The following is a 12,206-nucleotide window of genomic DNA, read 5'->3' on the forward strand; positions in this document are numbered from 1 at the left end:
AGACATGAATGTTTTGATTCTGTCATTTTAGGATTTGTTGAGAAAGAGATAAGAAAAGCTAACATTCCGATTATGGACACCGGTGAAAACCCAGAGGTTCCCTTCCCCCGGGACATGATTGACTTAGAGGTAAACACTTCTGGGAAAACCAGAAAAGTTTCTTTCTACTTGAACGCAGAAATTACTTTCCTGAGCAGATAGAGAGTAAAGTAATTCTTGCTAACTTTGTCAGCATTATCTACTGATTGTAAGTTTCTTGTAGGTGGGATTTTGATAGATAATATTTGTACACATTTATGGTGTACATGTGATATTTTGGTATATACATAGAATGTGTATATACCAAGTCAGGGTATTTGGAGTATCCATCACCTTGAGTATTTACCATTTCTATGTGTTGGGAACATTTCAATTCTTCTCTTCTAGCTATTTTGAAATATATACAGTACATTGCTGTTAACTATAGGCACCCTACTCTGCTATTGAGCATTAGAACTTATGCCTTCTATCTAACTGTATGTTTGTCCACATTAACCAACCTCTCTTCATCCCCCCACAAACCCACACACCCTTCATAGCCTCTGGTATCTATCATTCCACTCCCTACCTCTATGAGATCAACTTTTTTAGCTCCCACATATGAGTGAAAACTTGTATTATTTGTCTGTGCCCTGCTTATTTCGCTTAACATAATGACCTCCAGTTCTATCCATGTTGCTGCAAATGACATGATTTTATTCTTTTTTTATGGCCAGACCATATGAATCCCCTCTTTTATGGTGACAAACAGCACTCAAACAGTATTATATGCCACTAAGTAAATGTTTATTGGTTTATCGAAACCTTATTGGAGTAAGTTATCTACTATTTTATTTTATTTTATTTTATTTTTGAGACATAGCTATCACCTAGGCTGGACTACAGTGACCCCATCTTGGCTCACTGCAACCCCTGCCTCCCAGGCTCAAGCAGTTCTAGTACCTCAGCCTCCAGAGTAGCTGAGACGATAGCTGTGTGCCAACATGCCTGGCTAATTTTTTTGTATTTTTTGTAGAGATGGGATTTTCCCATGTTGGCCAGCTTGATCTCGAACTCCTAACCTCAAGCAATCTGCCTGCCTCAGCCTCCCAAAGTACTGGGATTACAGGTGTGAGCTACCACACCTGGCCTATCTACTAGTTGGTTAATCTTGCAATCTTGCAGACTAAATGGGCAGCCAGTAGACTTCTCAGTAATTATTTTATCCATCTGAAATCGCCTGAGAAAGTTACCAAGTATACAATAGAATGTGTAAACAAAGAAAGACTATTTTTTTGACTTCTACAATGACTTAGAAAGGAAAGACTTTTTTTTTTTTTTTTTTTTTTTTCCAGACAGAGTCTTGCTCTCTCACCCAGCCTGGAGTGCAGTGGTGCGATCTTGGCTCACTGCAACCTCCGCCTCCCGGGTTCAAGCCATTCTCCTGCCTCAGCCTCCCAGGTAGCTGGGATTACAGGCATGCACCACTGCACCCAGCTAATTTTTTTTTGTATTTTTAGTAGAGACGGGGTTTCGCCATGTTTGGCCAGGCTGGTCTTGAACTCCTGACCTCAGATGAGCCACCCACCTCAGACTCCCTAAGTGCTGGGATTACAGGAGTGAGTCACCATGCCCGGCCAGGAAAGACTATTTATTTATTTATGAGATGGAGTTTTGCTCTTGTTGCCCAGGCTGAAGTACAGTGGTGTGATCTTGGCTTACTGCAACCTCCACCTCCCGGGTTCAAGTGATTCTCCTGCTTCAGCCTCCCAAGTAGCTGGGACTACAGTCATGCGCCAGCACGCCCAGCTAATTTTGTATTTTTAGTAGAGACGTGGTTTCACCATTTTGGTCAGGCTGGTCTCGAACTCCTGACCTCAAGTGATCCACCCGCCTCGGCCCAGGAGAGATTATTTTAAGCAAAAAAATTTCCATAAAGAAAATTGCTCTAGTAAAATCACAGTATTTGCTAGGCAAGTCCAAGTTCTCTTTGAACTATCGGCTTGGCAACAGTTCTGTGGGATGAATTCATTTAATGTCTTTCAGAGCAAACATATTGAGCTTAGCTTAATATATTTTCTTATTTCATCTAGGCCAATTTTGAGAAGATTGAAAATGAACTGAAGGAAATCAACACAAACCAGGAAGCTCTGAAGAGAAACTTCCTGGAACTGACCGAATTAAAATTTATACTTCGCAAAACTCAGCAATTTTTTGATGAGGTCAGACTATTGTTTCTTTTAGTATTTGAGCAGCTGATATTATACTCACACAAGTGGGCCATATTTTTATTCCAGTAATTATTTTAATTTGCTAGTTTGGAAGCAATGCCATTTTTGCACCCTGTTTTAGTTACAGAAATGTGAGATTATGTTCCATTTTTCATGCAGTACACAACCAGCCATGGTTTTGCATTTTTTCACATTTTCTTCAATTTTTCATCTCAATATGAGGAAAAGAACCCTGAAGTAGTTGTATAAACATAGTTAGTATAAATTTTTACATTATATTTATACTTATAAGGTAAGTATATGCTTAAGGTTAAAGCTGAGGAAGCAAACATTTGGTTATAGACAAAATTATAACAAAGGTTTAATCACCAAACCTTTTGTCATCAAATTTTTATTTCATTGTCTATGTTTGCTTATAAACCTTCGAGCACATTTTTCAGTACTTCAGATAGCACACATCACACTAATTTTTCAAGAGTTTTTCATTGTATTTATTGTATGGAAAATATTGGTAGGATGCTTGTTTGAAACTTCTGGATTATCACATAAACTTAGACGCATTACCTCAGAGGGAAAAATGTTAGTAAAGTTCTTGGGTTAAATATGTAGGTGAGGCCAGGCATGGTGGCTCATGCGTGTAGTCCCTGCACTTTGGGAGGCCGAGGCAGGTGGATCACCTGAGGTCAGGAGTTCGAGATCAGCCTGGCCAACATGGTGAAACCCGGTCTCTACTAAAAATACAAAAACTAGCCGGGTGAGGTGGTGGTTGCCTGTAATCCCAGCTACTCGAGAGGCTGAGGCAGGAAAATCATTTGAACCTGGGAGGTGGACGTTGCATTGAGCTGAGATTGCTCCACTGCACTCCAGCCTGGGCGACAGAGTGAGACTCTATCTCAAAAAAAAAAAATGTAGGCTGGGCGCGGTGGCTCATGCCTGTAATCCCAGCACTTTGGGAGTCCGAGGTGGGCGGATCACGAGGTCAGGAGATCAAGACCATCTTGGCTAACACGGTGAAACCCCGTCTCTGCTAAAAAAATACAAAAAATTAGCCGGGCATGGTGGTGGGCACCTGTAGTCCCAGCTAATCAGGAGGCTGAGGCAGGAGAATGGCGTGAACCCGGGAGGCGGAGCTTATAGTGAGCCGAGATCGCGCCACTGCACTCCAGCCTGGGCGACAGAGCAAGACTCTGTCTCAAAAAAAAAAAAAAAAAATGTAGGTGACTTGGTTGGGCATGGTGGCTCACACCTGTAATCCCAGTACTTTGGGAGGGTGAAGTGGGCAGATCACTTGAGCCCAGGAGTTCAGGATCAGCCTGGGCAACATGGTGAAACCCCGTCTCCACAAAAAATACAAAAATTAGACAGGCATCGTGGTGCACACCTGTAGTTCCAGCTACTCGGGAGGCTGAAGTGAGGGGATTGCTTGAGCCCAGGAGGCAGAGGTTGCAGTGAGCGGAGATTAAGCCACTTTACTCCAGCCTGGGGGACAGAGCAAGACTGTCTCAAAAAAAAAATGTAGGTGACTTAGTCCAGGTGACAATGTGCTGAGGTGACTCCATGGAAAGGATCTGGAGCAAGGCTTCCAGAATGCTCCCTTCTCCTAACTCAGTCTGGGGAGGAGTCTTAGCTTTCAACTTGGATGTGGTTTTTCTGATGGCCTAAAGTACAGTAACTGTCTTCTTGACAGGTGTCTTTGCCACCAGATTGACAATATTAGACACTTTAGGGATTGTTACAGTCACTGTTCAATGTGCCTTCCCATAAAGTTCTTTCATTCCTTTGCTCAACAAGAAAACTTGGCAAAGCTTTTAAATATAGAGGCCCTTTTTTTTTTTTTTTTTCCCGAGACAAAGTCTCACTGTGTTGCCCAGGCTGGAGTGCAGTGGAGTAATCTTAGCTCACTGCAACCTCCACCTCCCAAGCTCAAGCAATTCTCCTGCCTCAGCCTCCCGAGTAGCTGGGATTACAGGTGCTCACCACCACCCCCAGCTAATTTTTGTATTTTCAGTAGAGACAGCGTTTCACCATGTTGGCCAGGCTGGTCTCGAACCTCTAGCCTCAAGTGATCCATCCACCTCTGTCTCCCAAAGTGCTGGGATTACAGGTGTGAGCCACTGTGCCTGGTAGAGTCCCATTTTAGTTAGCATCTGCTGTGTTCTCAGTTGTACTTTAAATTTATATATATAGTTTTTATTTTTATTTTTTATTGTTTTTAGGCCGGGCGCGGTGGCTAACGCCTATAATCCCAGCACTTTGGGAGGCCGAGGCAGGGGGATCACGAGGTCAGGAGTTCAAGACCAGCCTGACCAACATGGTGAAACCCCGTCTTCTACTAAAAATACAAAAATTAGCCAGGCATGGTGGCGGGCGCCTATAATCCCAGCTATTCATGAGGCTGAGGCAGGAGAATCGCTTGAACCGGGGAGGCGGAGGTTGTAGTGAGCTGAGATCGCACCACTGCACTCTAGCCTGGGCGAAAGAGCGAGACTCCATCTCAAAAAAAAAAATTGTTTTTAACTGCCTCATCTCAGAAATTTTTCTCTTTTGAGGGGAGATCAAATATCCAGAATTCTCTAGACTGGAGCAGGGGTTTTTCAAACAACAGCAGCAGACTCACCTGTAATCTTGTCAGAAGTATGAATTATCAGTCTCCACCCTAGACTTACTGAATCAGACACTGTGGGAGTTAGGCCTAGCAGTCTGTATTTACTAGGTGATCCGGAGGCATGCTAGTTTGAAAACTGCTGGGCTAGAGAAGGTCTGCTGAGGATGTGATACATTCCTCACTAATTTAAGGATTTGACTCAGAAGCCATTTAATTAAAAGGATCTGCTGGGTCAAGGGAAAGGGGAAAAACTCATATGAATTTAATTGCCTGGTCCTTTCAAGAGTCAGAAGGTACAAATATTTATTTAGTTTGCTCACAGAGTCGAGAATTTTGAGACTAGTGGTAACTTCTTTCGCCAGTCCCTAATGACATCACGTTAGAGGGTGTGGGACAGTGTGATTAACTCTAAGTGTTTAAGGTCTTTTGCAATAGGCATCGCCACTTAAGCTGTATGTTTTTAATGAACCTGGAATTCCAGCATGCTCACTGCCCAGACGTTATTGTATTTTTGTTCACTAATTCACTGAGCATATAATGAGCACCTACTTATTGTGAGACACAAGATGAGTAAGACATGGTCCCTGTGTTTAAGGAATGTATCATTCAGTCTTAAGAAATACCCCAGAACATGACGCTTTCATATGCTCACAGATGTGTGCTTTTCTAAACATATCCAAGCTGCTACCCACAGATCTGATGTAAACCTGGCCTTGTAGTCAGAGCTCAGCTACCTTTTAGCATTATTTGGAGCTTAATTCTTTTACCTTCCCTGTCCCCATTTTTTTCCCTTTTGATATACTGTTTAGTTTACTGCTGAGATATTGCTATCTCATATGAAAATGTCTTTCAAGACCTCGTAAGTTTAAGAATGAGAGCCAGCTTCCTATTATGGTTCATTTTTGGAGAAATTCCGAATAAAGACTGATAGATGGATTCCCTTAAGGGAAATAATTATTTAAACTATTAATTTTCTAATGAAAAGAACTTAGTAAAAATGAAAATAAGAGGAACCACTTGGAAAAATGATATTTTAAAATCATAATTTATGGATTTAGGACTTTTATTTTGTGAATAATAAGTCTAAACACTAAATGCCTGTTTTGAGAAGGCAGACTCTAAGTCTTCATGATCTTTGTGCCCTTTTCATGCTGGGGTTGTTTTCCCTCTCCTATTTTTTTTTTTTTTGAGACAGAGTCTCGCTTTGTCATCCAGGCTGGAGTGCAGTGGTGCGATCTTGGCTCACTGCAACTGCCGCCTCCCGGGTTCAAGCGATTCTCCTGCCTCAGCCTCCCGAGCAGCTGTGACTATAGGTGTGTACCACCATGCCCAGCTAATTTTTGTAGTTTTAGTAGAGACGGGCGTTTCACCATATTGGCCAGGCTGGTCTCGAACTCTGACCTCGTGATCTAGCTGCCTCAGCCTCCCAAAGTGCTGGAATTACAGGTGTGAGCCACCGCACCCAGCCTCCCCCTCCTATTTTATTCAAAACTTTTTTTTTTTTTCCAGTCTCTGGAAGTACTTAGAGCACAAGACCGTGGCTATGAGAGGTTCTTATGCTGCTTTTGTCATCAATTCCCCTTCCATTCCCAGCAGTCTCACTGCATTGCAAGTCTCCTGGCAAGAACCTCTCTGCCTTGCCTGTTCTTGCACTAGCTCACAGCCTCAGCCAGGTTCCTTTCCATAGACCTTGCCCTGCTGCTGCGTAGCAGCAGGCTCAGGTGTCACTGCCACAACTTTGCATCTGCACATGCGCGTGCACTTCAAATAATGCGAAAGATAGGACACTTGGGACCCTCAAATGTTGGAAACTTAGGATTTTTAATGAGATTTTCTTCTGTGTCTGAAATTATAATATTTGCAAAGGGCCTAAAACACTACCAGTTTTAAACCCCTTATTTTGTGTAATTTGGTGACTATAATCAATAATTCACAGTAATGAGTTAGCAGAAATGGCTAAATCAGAAAATGATTCTATATTTAGGCATAGGAGTTATGATTGGCAGGGTGTGTGTAAGGTGAAAAATAAACATATTGAATAGTCTTATGATTAAAGATGATTACAAATTTGACTTAGTCATTTCTTATCTAGGGCATTTAAAATGACTTGTTAATGATTATCCTTTTCTAAGTCTTCTTGCTTATGAAGAACTGTAAGAGCTGGAGAGATTTCTCTGCATCTTTTACCATAAGCACCATAACATATGAGAACATAAAGAAGACTGGAAAAGTAATGGTTAATGGCATGCAGATTCCCTGCTTTCCTTTCCTTCTCAGTTTTCCATCCATCTGCTTTCTTTATTTTTTTCCCATCTGCCATTTCCTTTGGGGCCTAGGTGAATACCTTAAGTAATGAAATATAATTTTTTTCTCGATGTAGATGGCAGTAATTGTTTGTTCTTGGTAATTGACATAGCTTGAACTGGATGTGCTATTTATACTTAATTGCTGTAGAAACAGAACTGAAGTTCTTCTACTTCCTTTTTGTAAGGCGTGGTTTTCAGTATCTGAATGGAGAAACCAGAGGGCATAGCAGTAATGTAGAGGCATATTCACAATGTTGTTATTAGAGAACCCAGATACCCTTAAGACAAGCTTGTCCAGCCCATGGCCTTCAGGCCTCAGGACAGCTTTGAATGTGGCCCAACACAAATTCGTAAACTTTCTCAAAACATTATGAGATTTTTTTGGAATTTTTTTTTTTAGCTCATTAGTTATCATTATAGTGTATTTTATGTGTGGCCCAAGACAGTTCTTCTTCCAATGTGGCCCAGGGAAGCCAAAAGATCAGACACCCCTGCTCTAAGATTTAGATACTTTCAACCACATGGTTTTAGATACTGCTTTAAAGGCCTTCAGTTAGTGAGTGGTTCTAGTCATCCTAGTTTCTCACCAGGCACAATTTTACTTAAAAATTTGTAACTTTTCTCTCTAAGATAGAATTCTTAAGTATGAAGTGGTGAAATTAGCAATTCAAATATTATCGCAAGTTTCTGTTGAATTTTAATTTTGTTGTTTTTTATTCTCAGAGAGTCCTAGATAGAGTCTTTGAAGTGGTCTAGTTGCTAAGTACTGTTTGCTTTTCCATCAGTTAGAGCACATGTGTTTGCATTGAGTCCGATATTTAGGGTTGACTTAAACCACGTCTTGTGAGACAGGCAGGCAAGTAGGATGGAGTCTTGTGAGTAGTCAGGCTCACTGGTTTTTGCCAAGGGATAAACCAAGAACAAGTTGAAATGTTGTAATCATCGGGATCCTGAAAACAAGTTGCTTGTAGTCAGCTGATTTGATTGCAAGTAGAAACCGAAAGAACCCCCTCAACTTACATGTAACAGCCAGTGGTAACTAGTGTCTCCATGATCTCATCTTAAACTTTTCCAATCTCATGACAGTATTTCTCTGCACTTCTGGTGTTGATCCTTACTTCCCAAAATGATTGCTTTCTATTTTTTAGGCCTTCAGACTTATCATCTGGTTTATACACAGTTTTTCCCCCTTTTTGCTATGTTTATGATCCCATGACTTTATCAAGTTATGGTCCCTGTGCCACTTTTTAAGAGTGTGGCTGACAGGGGTAGAATCAAATTGAAATTTGGAATGAAAATGATAGAGAAAAACTCTTCTGATTTTTTGTCTTATTGTGCTTTTGAAGAGGATGATTGTTCTGGTTTACTCCTAGTTTTTGGTCAAACAAGTATTGCCTGGGTATTAGAGTTGGGGAGATGAGGCAATGGAGAAGTTGATTGGACTGGTTTTTGTTTTGTTTTGTTTTGTTTTGTTTTTTGGAGCAGCTTCTCCTTTCTGATGGGAGTAAAGGGTGGTAGGATGAGTTCGGTAGAGAGAGGCTAGGAAATGTAGACCTGCGTGTGGGAAGATCCTTCTTCATTTCATTGTATAAACTGTCATGGTGGAAGTCATTTTAAATCTTACCAATTAAACCAGCCCATGAACTCTAGTTTGGTTTATTATCTGTTGTTTTTCCTTCACTTTACTTGATTCTTGAGCTGTGTTCTCAAGAATCCTACAACTGTAAAGCCTATGTGAACTTATTTAGAAGATTCCTAGTCAGAAAATGGGACATTCAGATATGTTTTTACAGGCCTGCCCAGCTATTGTGCTTCTTATCCTTTTGAAGACATAAATACTCTTTAAATCCCATGGCTTGGATCATTCTATAAGTGGCCATGCTGAAAGTTCTCATATTCTGAATTTTAAAGGGGCTGGAAACGTAGATACCTGGAGCTTCCCCTTCTGTCTTTCTCCAGACTTCACAGCATTCAAAGACAGTGGCAGTGCCTTGCTTCTTCCTTGGAAAGAGAGCCTCTATCTTTCACATTCTCACGTAGGGAAAATTCTAGTTTGTAGCTGCCTAGAAATTAAATGTTCAGAGTATCTGCAGAGTCTCTTCATTATTGCACAGAAAGAAGAGATATTTTAGCTTCCTATCTACATGCAGAGGTATTTCCTGGCACTTTCATCATTCATTCAGGGAAACGTAGGAGAGAAAATGGCTTCCACCAAGTAACAGATTTATACATGTCACCATCACTTAATTTTTTTTCCTTTTGCTCCTTATTTCTAAAACCATTTCCCCAGATGCTTTACTGGGGCAATTATGCTTTCTTTACCTCAAATTTATTTTCTGTGTTTTCATCCCCTATTCTTCTTGTCTTTTTATGGATATATCTTGTCTTTTCGTGGTTTGTTTTCTTTTTCATCCTTATTTTCTGAACCTGTCTCCTGGTTCCTCGTTGCCTGCATGCCACTAACTATTTTCATTAGATATTAATTGATTTGTGAATTCAGGCTGAATTGCATCATCAGCAGATGGCGGATCCAGACTTGTTGGAAGAGTCCTCATCCCTCTTGGAGCCAAGTGAGATGGGAAGAGGCACTCCTTTAAGACTTGGGTAAGTGCCATGTCAACTTTTCGGTATTCAGTGGGGCCATGTTCATCTCTTCTGTTCAGAAGAGCAGTGAGACTGGGGATTCACTTGCTACCAGGATATGCCCTCTTCTGAGCCTATTGAGATAGTCCTACAACTCTGGATTCATGCCTGAGTTGCTCTGTCAGCTCTCTGCTGGGTCCATAAGTGAAGCTGGGAATAAGACTTGTATTAAACCAACCCAAATGTCCATCAATGATAGACTGGATTAAGAAAGTGTGGCACATATACACAATGGAATACTATGTAGCCATAAAAAATGATGAGTTCCTGTCCTTTGTAGGGACATGGATGAAGCTGGAAACCATCATTCTCAGCAAACTATCACAAGGACAAAAAACCAAACACCACATGTTCTCACTCATAGGTGGAAATTGAACAATGAGAACACTTGGACACAGGAAGGGGAACATCACACACCGGGGCCTGTTGTGGGGTGGGGGGAGGGGGGAGGGAGAGCATTAGGAGATATACCTAATGTAAATGACGAGTTAATGGGTGCAGCACACCAACATGGCACATGTATACATATGTAATGAACCTGCACGTTGTGCACATGTACCCTAGAACTTAAAGTATAATAAAAAAAGATATATATATAAATATAAATAAAAAAGACTTGTATTAAAACCTTCCATCCCATGACATGGAATAGAGTTTCCAATCTGCCTCTTCTCCCCACAGCTTCGTGGCTGGTGTCATTAACCGGGAGCGCATCCCTACTTTTGAGCGCATGCTTTGGCGGGTATGCCGGGGAAATGTGTTCCTGCGACAGGCTGAAATCGAGAACCCCCTGGAGGATCCTGTGACTGTAAGACAAGGAGATTGCATCCTGTGGAGTAGGTCTTGTAAAGGGAGCCCAGAGCAGTAACGTAGCATGGGGCCACCTGAATCCAGTGCTTCCACAGAGGAGCCATTATCTTTATCTCTGCTCTAATTGGAGAATTTGAAGTACTTCCTCTTAGTTAATTCCTGTCATATATACATATGGATGTATGATGTATACATGACATATACATATTTTCAAGTTTACCCGTGTAGATGTTATTCTGATTGGAAATTTTTATTTTCACTCATTTGCCTTTTATGAAAATTAACTTTAAAGCAAGACATCTGGTTCCAAATTTGGTAATTTTTTTTTTTTTGAGGTGGAGTCTCACTCTGTTGTCCAGGCTAGAGTGCAGTGGCGCGATCTCGGCTCACCACAACCTCCGCTTCCTGGGTTCAAGCGATTCTCCTGCCTCAGCCTCCCGAGTAGCTGGGGATTACAGGCATGTGCCATGATGCCTGGCTAATTTTTTCTGTATTTTCAGTACAGACAGTGTTTTACCATGTTGCCTAGGCTGGTCTTGAACTTCTGATCTCAAGTGATCTGCCTGCCTCGGCCTCCCAAAGTGTTGGGATTATAGGCATAAGCCACCATGCCCAGCCCCAAGTTTGGTAATATTCATGTATAAAAAGAGAAGGAGAGATTTCCTAGACTGTGATCTTAATAAGCTGATGAAATTTTACTTGGTAAAGTTTTTTTGTTTGTTTGTTGGAAGGATTAGAAACTTAGTTTAAGAATAGATATCGCACAAAATAGGATGATCTTCCCCACCCAGTACTTCAGGAAGTAGAAACAGTTTAACATCCTGGCATTTGCCATAATGGGACAGAGTTTATCGTCTAAACCTGCATTTAGGTATGGTGAGTCCTGATTTCAGGGAGTACCAGTGAAGATAAATGTACTGCAAAAATTTTGCTTTGCTTTTGTACTAGTATTATTTAGAAACCTAAAGTTAGCTTTTCTGTTCTAAATTATCTTGTGAATTTCTTAAATTCGTGTTCTTTACCTAAAAAGAGAGAGATTGAATTGTGAGATTTCTCAGATTGGGTGGGCTGTGCAGCTGCAGGTCTTTCATCCTCCATGCCGTGGAGGAGTGTGGTTACACTTCAGGTGAACCCCCTGCCTAGGGGTGTAGTTTCACAATCTTGCCAAAGGCCATCAGGTTGTGGAAACGTTGTAATTTGTAGTCACATTAATGAGGAACTTTTCTCAGGAATATTCAGTCAAGTTTCCTCTTGGCAACAGAAAGGTTATTTTATCAACAAATCCAGAAATGGGGACCCTGGATATCTGTAACAGAGCAGGCTGCACAAAGAATGGGTTCTAGTTTAGCCTACAGAATTTAGGGATTTCAGACCCTTGAGCCCAATTTTCTTCACTCCTCATCCCCTTTTATCCTTCTAAAGTTTTGTTTGTTATTATAAAAGCTCTACATGCTGTGTATGACTATGAGAAAATACAGGCAACCTGAGACAATCCTGGTTAACACACCATACACCTTTTTTTCTGATCTTTCCTTCCAGTCCTTGCATCATACTTCAGGTATAAATTTGGTATTTGGAATGGATTACCTTCCT

The 12,206-nt window shown here is 41.2% G+C and overlaps 1 protein-coding gene across 38 annotated transcripts in view; it reads left to right on the plus strand.

Annotated features, from left to right (window-relative positions):
- The window catches only part of ATP6V0A1 (ATPase H+ transporting V0 subunit a1), a 63,702-nt gene that overhangs the window by 9,101 nt on the left and 42,395 nt on the right, over positions 1-12,206 (plus strand). For 13 of the 38 annotated variants that reach the window (XR_007065305.1, XR_007065307.1, NM_001378535.1 and 10 more), the window contains 4 exons: positions 32-129; positions 2,112-2,240; positions 9,682-9,764; positions 10,485-10,611. Coding sequence is in view for 33 of the 38 variants with exons in the window: in NM_001378535.1 (NP_001365464.1) it covers positions 32-129; positions 2,112-2,240; positions 9,682-9,764; positions 10,485-10,611 (437 nt within the window). In the remaining 5 variants the exon portion in view is untranslated. Of the gene's footprint in view, positions 1-31; positions 130-2,111; positions 2,241-9,660; positions 9,765-10,484; positions 10,612-10,948; positions 11,072-12,206 lie in introns of all 38 variants that reach the window. The other 25 variants (XR_007065303.1, XR_007065304.1, XR_007065306.1 and 22 more) reach the window with 6 other exon arrangements.

The sequence above is a fragment of the Homo sapiens genome, chromosome 17, assembly GCF_000001405.40.
Source record: "Homo sapiens chromosome 17, GRCh38.p14 Primary Assembly".
NCBI classification, from domain to species: domain Eukaryota; kingdom Metazoa; phylum Chordata; class Mammalia; order Primates; family Hominidae; genus Homo; species Homo sapiens.